Source organism: Homo sapiens, chromosome 2, assembly GCF_000001405.40.
Source record: "Homo sapiens chromosome 2, GRCh38.p14 Primary Assembly".
NCBI classification, from domain to species: domain Eukaryota; kingdom Metazoa; phylum Chordata; class Mammalia; order Primates; family Hominidae; genus Homo; species Homo sapiens.
In genome coordinates this window covers 118,156,603-118,171,452 of record NC_000002.12, presented here as the reverse complement: position 1 = coordinate 118,171,452, position 14,850 = coordinate 118,156,603, and the positions used below count along the sequence as shown (strand labels likewise).

Below are 14,850 nucleotides of genomic sequence, written 5' to 3'. Positions count from 1 at the left end.
GGAGTTGTCTAAGAACAGATGAGTACGTGGACTCCAAACCAGGAAATTTTGGATTGGAGACAGAAGTTTGGCATTATGTCAGCCCCCAGATAATGAATGTTTGCTGGGCTGCTGATGACGTTCTACAGAGAGCAGGGGCAACAAGGAAGAGAGGACAGCCAGCAAAGCCCCTCTAACAGGGCAGAAGAGGATGTGTCATTACAAGAGCCTGGAAATTAGCTAGAGAGATGGGAGGGAACCCCACAGAGAGAGCAGTGTTACAGAAGCCAAGGAAAAAGAGGATATCAACAGGGTGGGGTAAATTGATTTTGCTATGATGATATCTGACTTGAGAAGTACTTATTGGATAGTCCAAAGTGGAAGTCTCAGTGACCTTGGCAAGTTTCAGTGGAGTGGTAGGAGTGGAATCCAGATTGTCAAGATGAAGGAGGAGAATGTAGGAGGTAGGAAGGAGGAGACAGCAAGTGCAGGCAAAGCTTAGGAGGCACTTACTGTAAACATTAAGATGAAAGATAGGAAAGTACCTGGAAAGAAATACCTATAGGCTGAGTTTTGGGAATGATGCTTTTTGTTTGTTGTGTAATATGGGAGAGATTTGATCATGTCTTAATACATCTAAGAAAAAGCCAATACAAGAAACGAAAAGTTTTAAAGATGTAGAAGAGAGGGAGGAAATAATAATAATAGTAGAGGCAAATCTCTGAGGAGATGGATGGAGATTGGATCCAGGAGGTATTTCACTGGGACAAGAATGAAAGAAGATGCTGTATATGTTAGAAACTCTGTCGGGTTCAGGTAACAGTACACCCTCTGGGATTGTAACTTGGAAAGTAGCTTGGACATTTGAAAGTCAAACAGTAGCTTTTTGCTACCCTTAATTAAACTGTTCAATGTTGGCAGGGCTCAGAATCAACAGCTCTGTAATTTGTTTCACCTTTGCCTCATGGTTGCAGGATGGCTGCAGCAGCTCTAAGCATCACATCCTTACATACCCCATTCATAACCAGGAACCATGTGTCCGTAAAGGGCATAATTCTCTTCATGCACTTTTCTCTTAGAAGAAAGAAAAACATTTTTCAGAAGCACTTCACAAGACTTCTTGACACATCTCATTATGTAAAATTGGGACTTAACAGTCACGCACAGACCAAGGCTGGGCCCAGTTCCCACCCAGCACACGAACAGAATCAGTGCTTCAGTGAGAAAGAAGAAAGGGGCAACTCTGGGTTAGAAATAGCCATGTCTGCCTCAAAGGTACAGATGAAGTAGGTCAGTGGGCTTGGGAGCAGAAAAAATGAATGAATTCTCTGGAAATGTCAATTTTCCCTCTAAGTTTGTCATCTGCTAAGAGTGAGAGGGAAGGGGTTGTGGGTGTGAGTTCTGATGGGAGTGAAGAGATCTAAAATAACCACAGCAGAGAAGCAGGGGGTGAACTCACTGGAAAAAAAAAAACATCAAAAATTCCAAGAAGGTCCTCCATGGGGAAAATGATTGGGGAAGAAATTACAGACCAAAGGAAAAAAGAAAGGAAGGGAAGATCCACTAAAGGACAGCTCTGCCCCAAGTGGCCATGTACACCAGGGTTTCCCTGCCTCGCACTGTTGGCATTCTGGGCTGATTAATTACTTGTTGCAGGGCTGTCCTGGGCACTGTAGCATGTTGGCAGCATCCCTTGCCTCTACCCACTAGATGCCAGTAGCAAACCCCACTTCCAATCCTGACTACCAAAAATGTCTCCAGGCATTGCCCAGTACCCCATGGTGGGAGGAGGCAAAATCATCCCAGTTGAAAACCACCTATGTACACTATCTTATTTAGTCCTTCAGAGCAGAGATGGTGTTTCTGTTTTTGAGGATGAGGTTAAAAGCCCAAGGACACATAGCTGAGAAGAAATGGAACCGGAATTGAAGCCGGCTCTGCCAGAGACTGCATTCTTCCCTCTGACCCTGAGCTCCACAGCCTGCAGTGCACCACCGGCACCAAACAGGAAGTCACACCCATGGGCCGGCCTCTGCCTTGCCACTGGGGCTCTACACCCCATAGAGTAACTTTGAGGAGTAATCTGTTTTTTCCCGGAGAGAATTAGAGAACTCATAAAAATTAAATCTTTACAAGAGCTCTATCTCCTCCTTTCAAGGAAGTCAATCACTTGGGTTAAAAAAGAAAAAGAAAAAGAAAAAAAAATGTGGCAACATTTTCCCAAGGACTTAGGGCAGAAAACCACCATCCAGAAAGGAAAATCTTTGAAGTTGGAATGTGCTCTAGGCTGCCTCTTTAAATGAAAAATGTTATATGCCTGGGAAACATTATATATGCCAAAGCAATACGAGGGCCTCACGGTAATAATGATAGCACCAACTCCATGCTTTCATCCCTGAGACTCTGTGAAGGGCCTTAAAAATGAAATTTTATACAAGTGCACACACACACACACACAATATTTGGAAAATTCACACATATATCACTTTGCCCACCTCTCCAATGAAGGTGGAATGTGGTGGCAGATGTTTCACAGCTGCCCGGCAACCACCCTCCAACAGTTTAGGACAGGAAGCTAAGGACACCCGATCCAAAAGGAATTGCAGGGAGAGGTCAGGGAGGTAAAAGTTAATCCTGAGAATTGGGATTCTGCCAAAGCTTGGGATACCCTCCACGCCATTGCCTCATCCTTTATTCTAAGAGACTGAATGAATCAAGTGACAGGCATCTATCTGCATGTGAGAGGCCATGCCCTCCCCATGAAGAGAGTTGGAACTAGGAAAGATCCTTACATTTGAGGAATACATACTATACATACAGCCTGCAGCCCAGCCTGAGAAAGCCAAGCCTATAGATTTGGCATCTAGGCCAGTTACATATCTTTACTCTGCTGAATAGCCATAGACAGAGTCCCTATTGCATAGATGGCTGCCCTTGCCTCTACCCTTTCATAAAAGATAAATCATTTCATAAAGAATGCCTCACTGCCTGGGTGCAGTGGCTCACAACTGTAATCCCAGAACTTTGTGGGGCCCAGGCAGATGGATCACCTGAGGTCAGGGGTTCAAGACCAGCCAACATGGTAAAACCCCATCTCTACTAAAAATACAAAAATTAGCTGGGCATGGTGGCATGCGCCTGTAATCCCAGCTTCTTGGGAGGCTGGGGCACAAGAATCACTTGAACCAGGAAGGTGGAGGTTACAGTTAGCCAGTGATCTGAAATCGGGCCCCTGCCCTCCAGCCTGGGCAACAGCAACACAGTGAGACTTCATCTAAAAAAAAATAAAAATAAAAATAAATAAAAAATAAAAAGAAGGCCTCACTGATGTGTGTGGATGGTAGAGGAGGAAGAGGGGACAAGGGGTGGTATCTTGTTTAACTAGGTCAGGCAGTGCATTTATAACCACAGAGTGAGGGGAAAGAAATGAATAACTGCAGAGCCCCAGCTCATGCCAGGGCCTGGGCTAGGAGCTTTACCTGTTGTCGTGTCATTAATCTTTCTGGGTTTCACTATCTGAACTTTGCAAATAAAGAAACTGAGTCCTGGAGAGGTTACGTAAGTTGGGGTCATACTCCCCAAGAGCCAGGATTCAAGCTCAGGTCAGCCAACCCCAAAGTGAACATGCTTGTGTTACCACCATATCTGGACATCGAGTATGCTAGCGCCCCAGAAATCTCCTCCGTGCTCTCTCCAAGTCATTACGCACCCACCCCTTACCTCCAGGTAACCACTGTTCTTCCTTCTATTGCTAAAGTTTAAATTTTGCATGTTTTTGAACAACATATAAATGGAGTCACATAGTATGTATTCTTTGGCATCTGATTTCTTCAGCTCAATAATTTATGAGATCCATTCATGTTTTTGTGCCTAATAGTAACTTGCTCATTCCCATTGCTATATAGGATTCTACTGGGTGAGTGTATTACAATTTATGTATCCATTCTATTATTTATGAACATTTGAGGAATATTCCATTTAGGAATATTATGAATACTACTGCTACAAACATTATTTTGTTTTGCTGTTTTTTTGAGACGGAGTCTCACTCAGTCACCAAGGCTGGCATGCAATGGTGCAATCACGGCTCACCACAACCTCCTGGGCTCAGGAGATTTTCCCTCCTCTGCCTCCCAAAGTGCTGGGATTACAGGTGTGAGCCATCATGCCCAGCTGAACATTCTTAACATCTAATGGGTGGCCACACACTTGAATATGTATACCTAGAGATAAAATTGCTGAATCATTAAGAAACATAATTGCTCATTTTTACTAGGTAATGCCAGTCTTCCAAAACGTTGTATTAACATTCCCACCAACAATGTGTAAAAGTTTCATCTGCTCCACAACTTCCAAAAATTGGTATTTTGAGTTTCTTTATAATTTTAGCTATTCTAATGGCTGTGTTGCTATGTCACTGTTGTTATAATTTTCTTCATAACTAATAAATATGAGGATCTTTTAATATATTTATTGGCCACTTGAACCATTCCCTCTTTTGTAAAGTTGTTGTCTGTTTTTGTGTATTGATCTGTAGAAGATCTTTGTATATTGTGTGAAAGTCCTTCGTTGGATATATGTATTGCAAATATCTTTTCTCATCCTGTGGCTTATCTGTCCATTCTTTGGTGTCTTTTAGGGCTTTTTTGTTTTTGTTTTTCACTACATTTTATTGTGGTAAGAATAGAACATGAGATGTACCCCCTTAACAAATGGCAAGTATACAGTGCCTTATTGTTAACTATAGATGCAATGTTATACAGCAGCTCTCCAGAGCTTATTTATCTTGCTTAACTGAAACTTTATGCCCAATGATCAGTAACTCTCCATTTCCTCCTCCCCCAGAGTCTGGGAATCATCATTCTACTCCAGAGTCTGGGAATCATCATTCTACTCTGATCCTATGAATTTGACTATTTTAAATATCTCCTATAAGTAGAATCATGTAACATTTGTCTTTCTGTTACTAGCTTATTTCACTAAGCATAATGTCCTCAAGGTTAATCCATGTTGTTACATATTGCACAATATCCTTCTTTTTGAAAGCTGAATAGTATCATATCCAATGTATATAACACATATCCTTCATTCATCTATCCATGAACATTTAAGTTGTTTCCACATCTTAGCTATTGTGAAAAGTGCTATAGTGAACATTGGGGCATCAATATCACTTTGAGATCCTTGTTTTAACTGTTTTGATAAATACTCAGAATTGGGATTGCTAAATTAAATGGCAGTTCTATTTTTTTAAGAGCCTTCATGCAGTTTTCCATAGTGGCTGCACTATTTTGCATTCCTACCAACAGGGTGAAAGTGTTCCAACTTTTTCACATCCTTGCCAACACTTGTGGTCTTTTGGTTTTTTGATAATAACCATCCTGAGAGGTGTGAGGTGATATCTCATTGTAGTTTTGACTTGCATTTCTCTGATGATTAGTTACTTTAAGCACTTTTTCATGTATGGGTTGGTTGCTTGTAAGTCTTCTTTGGAGAAATATCTATTCAAGTCCTTCAGCTATTTTTTAATCAGGTTATTTGGTTTTTTACTATTGAGGTATAGGAGCCCCTTTATCAAATGTTTGGTTTACAAATATTTACTGTATTAGTCCATCATGCTGCCGATAAAGACATACCCAAGATTGGGCAATTTAACAAATAAAAAAGTTTATTGGACTTACAGTTCCACATGGCTGGGGAGGCCTCACAATCATAGTGGAAAGCAAGGAGGAGCAAGTCACATCTTACATGGATGGCAGCAGGCAAAGACAGAGAGAGCCTGTACAGAGAAACTCCCATTTTTAAAATCATCAGATCTCATGAGACCCATTCACTATCACAGGAAGAGCACCGGAAAGAGCTGCCCCCATGATTCAGTCATCTCCTACAGGGTCCCACCACAAAATGTGGGAATTATGGGAGCTACAAGACAAGATTTGGGTGGGGACACGAAGCCAAATCATATCATTCTTCCCCTGTTCCCTCCCAAATCTCATTTCTTCACATTTCAATACCAATCATTTCTTCCCAACAGTCCCCCAAAGACTCAACTCATTTCAGCATTAACTCAAAAGTCCACAGTCCAAAGTCTCATCTGAGACAAGGAAAGTCCCTTCTGCCTATAAGCCTCTAAAATCAAAAGCAGGTTACTTACTTCCTAGTTACAATGGGGGTACAGTCATTGGGTAAATACAGCCATTCCAAATGGGAGAAATTGGCCAAAACAAAGTGGCTACAGGCCCCATGCAAGTCCAAAATCCAGCAGGGCAGTCAAATCTTAAAGCTCCTAAATGATCTCCTTTGACTCCATGTCTCACATTCAAGTCACGCTGATGCAAGAGGTGGGTTCCCATGGTCTGGGGCAGCTCCGTCCCTGTGGCTTTGCTGGTAAAACCTCCCTCCCAGCTGCCTTCATGGGCCGGCATTGAGTGTCTGTGGCATTTCCAGGCACACAGTGCAAGCTGTCAGTGGATCTACCACTCTGGGATCTGGAGGATGGTGGCCTTCTTCTCACAGCTCCACTAGGTGGTGGTCCAGTAGGGACTCTGTGTGGGGGCTCCCACCCCACATTTCCCTTTTGCACCATACTAGCAGAGGTTCTCCATGAGTATCCTGCCCCTACAGCAAACTTCTGCCTGGACATCCAGATGTTTCCATACATCTGAAATCTAGGCAGAGGTTCCCAAACCTCAATTCTTGACTTCTGTGCACTCACAGGGTCAACACTATGTGGAAGCTGCCAAGACTTGAGGTTTGCACACTCTGAAGTCACAGCCCAAGCTCTACATTGACCCCTTTCAGCCGCAGCTGCAGCGGCTGGGACACAGGGCACCAAGTCCCTAAGCTGCACACAGCATGGAGATTCTGGGCCCGGCCCACAAAACCACTTTTTCCTCCTAGGTCTCAGGGCCTGTCATGGGAGGGACTGCCACAGATGTGTTTGACATGCCCTGGGGACATTTTCCCCATTGTCTTGGTGATTAACATTTGCCTCCTCATTACTTATGCAAATTTCTGCAGCCAGCTTGAATTTCTCCCCCAGAAAATGGGATTTTCTTTTCTACTGCATTGTCAGGCTGCAAATTTTCCAAACTTTTATGCTTTGTTTCCTTTTTGAAACTAGAATGCCTTTAACAGCATCCAAGTCACCTCTTGAATGCTTTGCTGCTTAGAAATTTCTTCCACCAGATACCTTAAGTCATCTCACTCAAGTTCAAAGTTCCACAAATCTCTAGGGCAGGAGCAAAATGCCACCAGTCTCTTTGCTAAAACGTAACAAGAGTCACCTTTGCTCCAGTTCCCAACAAGTTCCTAATTTCCATCTGAGACCACCTCACCCTGAACCTTATTGTTCATATCACTATCAGCATTTTTGTCAAAGCCATTCAACAAGTCTCTAGGAAGTTCTAAACTTTCCCACATTTTCCTGCCTTCTTCTGAGCCCTCCAAACTGTTCCAACCTCTGCCTGTTACCTAGTTACAAGGTTGTTTCTACATTTTCAGGTATCTTTTTGGCAACACCCCACTTTACTGCTACCAATTTACTGTATTAGTCCGTCTTCACGCTGCTGATAAAGACATACCCGGCCGGGCGCAGTGGCTCACGCCTGTAATCCCAGCACTTTGGGAGGCCAAGGCGGGTGGATCACCTGAGGTCGGGAGTTCAAGACCATCCTGGCTAACATGGTGAAGCCCTGTCTCTACTAAAAATACAAAAAAAATAGCCGGGCATGGTGGTGGGTGCCTGTAGTCCCAGCTACTTAGGAGGCTGAGGCAGGAGAATGGCGTGAACTCAGGAGGCAGAGCTTGCAGTGAGTGGAGATCACGCCACTGCACTCCAGCCTGGGTGAGCTTGCAGTGAGTGGAGATCATGCCACTGCACTCCAGCCTGGGTGACAGAGCGAGACTCCATCTCAAAAAAAAAAAAAAAAAAAAGGCACACCCAAGACTGGGCAATTTACAAAAGAAAGAGGTTTACTGAACTCAGAGTTCCACATGGCTGGGGAGGTTTCACAATCATGGTGGAAGGTGAAAGGCACATCTCACATGGCAGCAGACAAATGAAGAGAGTTTGTGCAGGGAAACTCCCCTTTTTAAAACCATCAGATCTCGTGAGCCTGATTCACTATCACGAGAACAGCTCAAGAAAGACTTGCCCCCATAGTTCAATCACCTCCCACTGGGTTCCTGCCATGGAACATGGGAATTGTGGGAGTTACAATTCACGGTGAGATTTCGGTGGGGACACAGCCAAATCATATGAATTTTCTACTATTCTATATGTTGTCTTTTCACTCTTGATTGTGTTCTTTGCTGTGCAGAAGCTTATTAGTTGGATGTAGTCCCACTTGTTTATTTTGTTGTCGTTGCCTCTGCTTTTGCTGTCATATCCACAAAATCATTGCCAAGACTATTGTCATGGCACTTTCCCCCAATGTCTTCTTCTAGGCGTTTTATAGGTTTGTGTCTTACATTCAATCATTTAAACCATTCTGAGTTGATTTTTGCGTATGGTGTCAGATAAAGGGCCAATTTCATTCTTTTACATGTGGATATCTAGTTTTCTTATCACCATTTGTTGAAGAGATGATCTTTTTCCAACTGTATATCCTTGGCACCCTTATTGAAGATCAATTAAACATATATGCATAGTTATTTTTTTCTGGGCTCTCTATTCTGTTTCATTTTTCTATATATCTATCCATGACAATTCTGTTTTAATTATTATAGCTTTGTCCTATATTTTGATGTCAGAGAGTGTGATGACTGCCTTGTCATTCTTTCTCAAGATTTATTTGGCTATTGGTCTTTTGTGGTTCCAAATTATTTTTAGAATTTTTTTCTTTTTTTAACTTTTAGGTTCAGGGGTACATGTTACATAGGAAAACAAGTGCCATGGGGGTTTGTTGTAAAGATTATTTCATCACCCAGATATTAAGCAGAGTACCCAATAACTATCTTTTCTGCTCCTCTCCCTCCCCCCAACCTCCACCCTCAAGTAGACCTGTCTGTTGTTTTATTCTTTGTGTTCATAAGTTCTTATCATTTAGCTCCCACTTATAAGTGACAACATGTGGTATTTGGTTTTCTGTTCCTGCTTTAGCTTGCTAAGGATAATAGCCTTCAGTTCCATCTATGTTCCTACAAAAGATGTGTTCTTGTTCTTTTTTGTGGCTGCATAGTAGAATTTTGTTTTTCTATTTTGGTAAAAAATACTAACGAAATTTTTTTTAGGAATTGCATTGAATCTGCAGATTGTCTTAAAAAGTATGCACATTTTAACAATATTAAGTCTTCCAATCCATGAACACACAGATGACTTTCCATTTGCTTGTGTCTTGTTTAATTTCTTTCAACAATGCTTTGTAGTGTTTGGTATACAAGATTTTTGCTTCCTTAGTTAAGTTTATTTCTAGGTATTTTATTCTTTTTGGTGCTAGTGTAAATGGGAATGTTTTCCTAATTTCCATTTCATATTCATTGTTAATGTGTGTGCAAGTGATATTTGTATGTTAATGTTGTATTCTGAAACTTTACTGAATATGTTTATTAGTTCCAACGAAAATTTTTATGAAGTCTTTAGGGTTTTCTATACGTAAGATCATGTCATCTGCAAATAGGAGCAATTTTACTTCTTTGTGATTTAAGTACCTTTTTGTTTGTTTTTTGGCCTAATTGCTCTGGATAGGAATTCCGATGTTGCATTGAAGAGTGAGGGAAATCAAAGTATTTCATCCCCAAATATACTTCCTTGACATATTTTGAGGTGGCTGTTCAGCAAGTCTGCAAACAGAGGTAGCCCTGCAAAGCTGTCTTTGGAGGGGAGATTTGCATTTGTACGAAATCTTCATTGATGCTGCCAGGCTTTCTCTGGGGCTCTCCCTCGTCCTATCTACAAAAGATTAACTGAGAGTATAATACATTTAAAGGTCTGAAAGTCCAGGTGCAGTGGTTCATGTCTCCAATCCAAGCACTTTGGGAAGCCAAGGCAGGAGGATCACTGGAGTCCAGGAGTTCAAAATCAGCATGGGCAATCTAGTGAGACTCCATCTCAAAAAACAAAACAAAAAAAAACGGTTAGCCAGGTGTGACGGCGTGTACCTGTAGTCCCAGCTACTTGAGAGGCTGAGGCTGGAGGATTGCTTGGGACGAGGAGTTCAAGGCTGCAGACAGCCATGGTTGTGCCACTGAACTCCAGTCTGGTCAATAGAGCAAGACCCTGTCTCCACACACATGCAAAAAAAAAAAAAAAAAAAAAAAAAAAAAAAAAGATCTGAAGAAAACATTCATTCATTATTCATTCTCTCTGAAGGCTACTACCTGTGAGGTTTCACTTACATAGCAGGACCACCTTTGTTAGCCAGGCTTCCTCTTCTCCCCCTCCCATAATCTGTTTTGCTGATATCCAACCCCCATTCCTTCTGTAACCTCAAGATGGCACATAAGGTTCTGAAACCTACTGGGTGATTGGGGTAATTATGCTGTGGTTCTCTCCCATATACAAGTTAATAAATTTGTATGCCTTTTCTCCAATTAATCCACCTTTATCAGTTGATTTTTCAGTGAACCATCTGAAGATAAAGAGTAATTTTCCCTTGGCCCCTACAATAGAAAAGGTGAAAGTAAGCATCCTTGCCTTATTCCTAATCTTAGAGGAAAAGCTTTTAGTTTTTTACTATTGAGTGCGATGTTAGCTGTAGGCTTTTTATAGATGGTCTTCATTATGCTGAGATATTTTACTTCTGTTCCTAGTTTGTTGAGAGTTTTTATCATGAAGGGGTGTTGAATTTTGTCAAATGCTTTTTCTGCATCAATTGAGACAATCATGTGATTTATATCCTATATTCTGTTAATGTGGTGTATCACATAAATTGATTTTATATCCTTGCATCTTAGGGATGAATCCCACTTGGTTATGATGTATGATCCTTTTAATGTTTAATTCAGTTTGCTAGTATTTTGTTGCATCTATTTTCATGAGGGATATTGGCCTGTAATTTTCTTTTCTTGTGGTGTCTTTGTGTGGCTTTGGTATCAAGGTAATGCTGTCCTCATGTAATGAGTTTGGAAGTGTTCCCTCCTCTTCAATTTTTTGGAAGAGTTTGAGAAGAATTGGCATTAATTCCTTAAATGTTTGGTAGAATCCACCAGTGAAGCCATCTGGTCCTGAGCTTTCCCTTGTTGGGAGATTTTTGGTTACTGGTTCAATCTCCATACTAGTCATAGATCTGTTCAGACTTTCTACTTCTTCATAATTTAGTCTTTGTAGGTTGTGTATTTCTAGGAATTATCCATTGCTCCTAAGTTATCCTGTTTGATGGTATGTTATTGTTCAAAACAGATATGTTATGTTCCTTTGAATTCCTGTGATATCAGTTGCAATGTCTCTTATTTTATTTCTAATTGTATTTTAGTCTTCTTTCTTTTTTTCAGTGTAGCAGGAGTTTGCAATTTTGTTTATCTTTCCAAAAAAACAAACTCTTAGTTTATTGATTTTTTTGCTATTGTCTTTCTATTTTCTATTTTGTTTATTTCTGCTCCAATCTTTATCATTTCTTTCCTTCTGCCAACTTTGGGCTTGGTTTGTTCTTTTTTTTTTTTTTTCTATATCCTTGAGGTATAAAATTGGCTTTTTATTGAAATCTTTCTTTGGTTAATGTAGACATTTATCAGCATTAACTTCCCTGTTAAAACTGGTTTTGCCACATCACACAAGTTTTGGTATGTTGTGTTTTCATTTCCATTTGCCTTATTTTCCAATTTTCTTTTTGATTTCTATTTTGACTCAATAGTTGTTCAAGAGTATTGTTTAATTTTCACATGTTTGTGGGTTTTACTGTTTTCTTTAAGCTCTTGATTTCTAGTTTTATTCCATTGTAGTCAGAAAAGATACTTGGTATAATTCCAGTCTTTTTAAGTTTGTTAAGACTTGTTTTGTGACCTAAAATGTGATCTATCCTAGGGAAAGATCTATGTGTGCTTGAGAAGAATGTGTATTCTGCTGCTGCTGGGTGAAATATTCTGTATATATCTATTAGGCCCATTTGGCCTATAGCGTTGTTCATGTTCTCTGCTTCCTTATTGGTCTTCTGTATGGATCTTCAGTCTGTTATTAAAAGTGGGATATTTAAGTCTCCTGCTATTATCGTATTGCTATCTATTTCTCTCTTCAGTTCTGTCAATGTTTGCTTTATATATTTAGGTATTCTAATGTTGGGTACATGTATATTCATAATTGTTGTATATTCCTAGTGAATTGACTCTTTTGTCATTACATAATATTCTTCTTTGTCACCTGTGACACTTTTTTGACTTGCAGTCTATTTTGTCTGATGTAAACATAGCCACCCCTGTTCTCTTTTGGTTTTCACAGAATATCTTTTTCCATTTCTTCACTCTCAGATCATGTATATCCATAAATATAAAGCGAGTTTCTTGTAGGCAGTACATAGTTGGGTCTTATTCTATTTATCTACTTAGCCACTCTCTGTCTTTTGATTGGAGAGTTTAATTTACCTGTAATTATTAGTAGGGAAGAATATTCTATTGCCACTTTTGTTTTCTGTTAGTCTTATAGTTTTCATTGTCTTTTCCTCTTTTGCTATCTTCCTTTGTGTTTTATTGATATTTTTGTATTGATATGTTTTTATTGCTTTGTCTTTTTTTATATACCTCTATAGGTAGTTTTTGGTATGGTAACCTTGAGATTTACATAAAATATGTTGTGGTTATAATGGTCTATTTTAAGATGATAATCACTTAAGTTCAATGACACACACAAAAACTCTACATTTTAACATTTTCCCTCCACACATACACTTTAGGCTACTCTTGTTATAATTTACATGTAGTCATACTGCATATCTTTTAACTTTTTTGGTTATAGTTATACTTAATACTTTTGTCTTTTAACTTGGATACTAGAATTAAAAGTGATTTACATATCACTATTATGGTAATACAGTATTCTGCATTTGTCTTTGTATTTACCTTTATCATTAAGTTACATAAGTTTCATACTTTTTTATGCTATTATGTTGCCATGTAGCATCATTTTATTTCAACTTGAAAAGTCCTTTTAGCTTCTCTTGTAAGACAGTTCTAATGATGAACTCCCTAGGTTTTGCCTCATTGAAAAAATGATCTCTCTTTCATGCCTGAATGACAGTTTTACTGAGTATAGTATTTCTGATTGGCAGGATTTTTTTTCTTTCAGCACTTTGAATATATTATTTCCCTTCTCTTCTGGCTGCAGGGTTTCTGCTGAAAAATCTGATAATCTTATGGAGTTTCCCTTACGTGTGACAAGTAGCTTTTCTCTTGCTTTCAAAATTCTGCCTTTGCCTTTGACTTTTGACAGTTTGCTTATAATTTGTCCAGGTGTGGATTTCTTTGGATTCATCTTATTTGGTCTCCTTATGCCTTCTTTGATCTGGCTGTCCATTTCCTTCCCCAGATTTGGGAAGTTTATAGCCATTATTTCTTTGAATAAGAGTTTTTGCACTTTTTAATTTTCTTCTTCTTCTTGACTCCCATAATGTATGTATTGGTACACTTGATGGTGTCCTCTATGTCCCTTAAACTTTCTTCATTCTTTTTCATTTTTCTCTTTTTGCTCTTCTGACTGAATCATTTCTAATGACCTGTCTTTCAGTTCACTGATCCTTTCTTCTATTTAATCTAGTCTGCTCTCTAACCCCTATAGTAAGTTTTCAGTTTAGTTATTGTATTTTTTAGCTCCCTGATTTCTGTATGGTATTTAAAAAAATATTTTCTATTTCTTTTTTGAAATTCTCACTTTGTTCATGCATTGTTTCCTTGCCCTCAGTGAGCATCTTTCTGATGCTTTTTAGTTCTTAATTGTAATGATTTTAATGGAGTCTAATTTGTCAATATTTTGTTATGGTTTTATATCCTATTTTTAAAATATTTTCTACACAAGGTAATATTCTGCCATATTATTTTCTGTTGTATTTATTGTCTATCTTTCATATTTGGATCTACAATCTACATGAATAGAATTTTTGCATGTGATATAAGGTAAGAATTAATTTTTCCTCCAAATGGATATTTAACTATTGTAGAACCAATTGTTGATAAGACAATTCTTTCTTTCTCACAAGTCAAGTGATAATGTATGTGTAAGTTTGTTTATAAATTCTTTATTCTTTTCAATGGTTTATTTGTCTATCGTTGTACCAATACCATCTAACATATTTACTGTAGCTTTACAGTAAGTTTTAATACAATGTAAGTCTTCCAGCTTTGTCCTTCTTACAGATTGTCTTTCTTATTTTTACGCCATAGGAAGTTATATACATTTTAGAATCAGCCTGCCAATTTATTAAAATCCATGGGATTTTTAATGGAAGTGCATTGGTTCTATTTTGTATTTATTAATCTACTATAGATTGATACTTTTACTATTTCTTAATAATGCAACAATCTTAAACTACTTTAACACTGTTTATGTTTGTTTCTACTTTCATGCTATCATTTTCAGGCATTTTAAATTCTACATACTTTTAAACTCCAAAGACATTATTTTGTGGTTGTTATAATACATAGTAAATATTCATTTAGTTTTTTTCTTTATCTTAGTGATAATATCCCAGTAAATATTCATTTAATTTATACATGTATTTACCTTTTGTACTGCCGTCATTTCCTCTGACATTTCTGTGCTTCCATCTGAGATCTTTTCTGTTAGCTAAAGAACTCCTTTCAGTTTTTACTTTAGTGTATCAGCTGGTAGCAAATTCTCTCAACTTTTGTTTGTTTAAAAATGTCTTCATTTTGCCTTCATATTTGAAGGATGTTTTGGTGGGTATAAAAATCTAGAATAGAAAATATTTTCTTTCTGCATGTTAA

At 38.8% G+C, this 14,850-nt stretch overlaps 1 annotated feature.

The window, feature by feature from the left end:
- Positions 1,965–2,014: an enhancer, noted in NCBI's record as "active region_16442". NCBI's record gives its function as "activates an Ori minimal core promoter by ATAC-STARR-seq in GM12878 lymphoblastoid cells {active_cell/tissue: GM12878}" and the evidence as "EXISTENCE:reporter gene assay evidence [ECO:0000049][PMID:35858748]".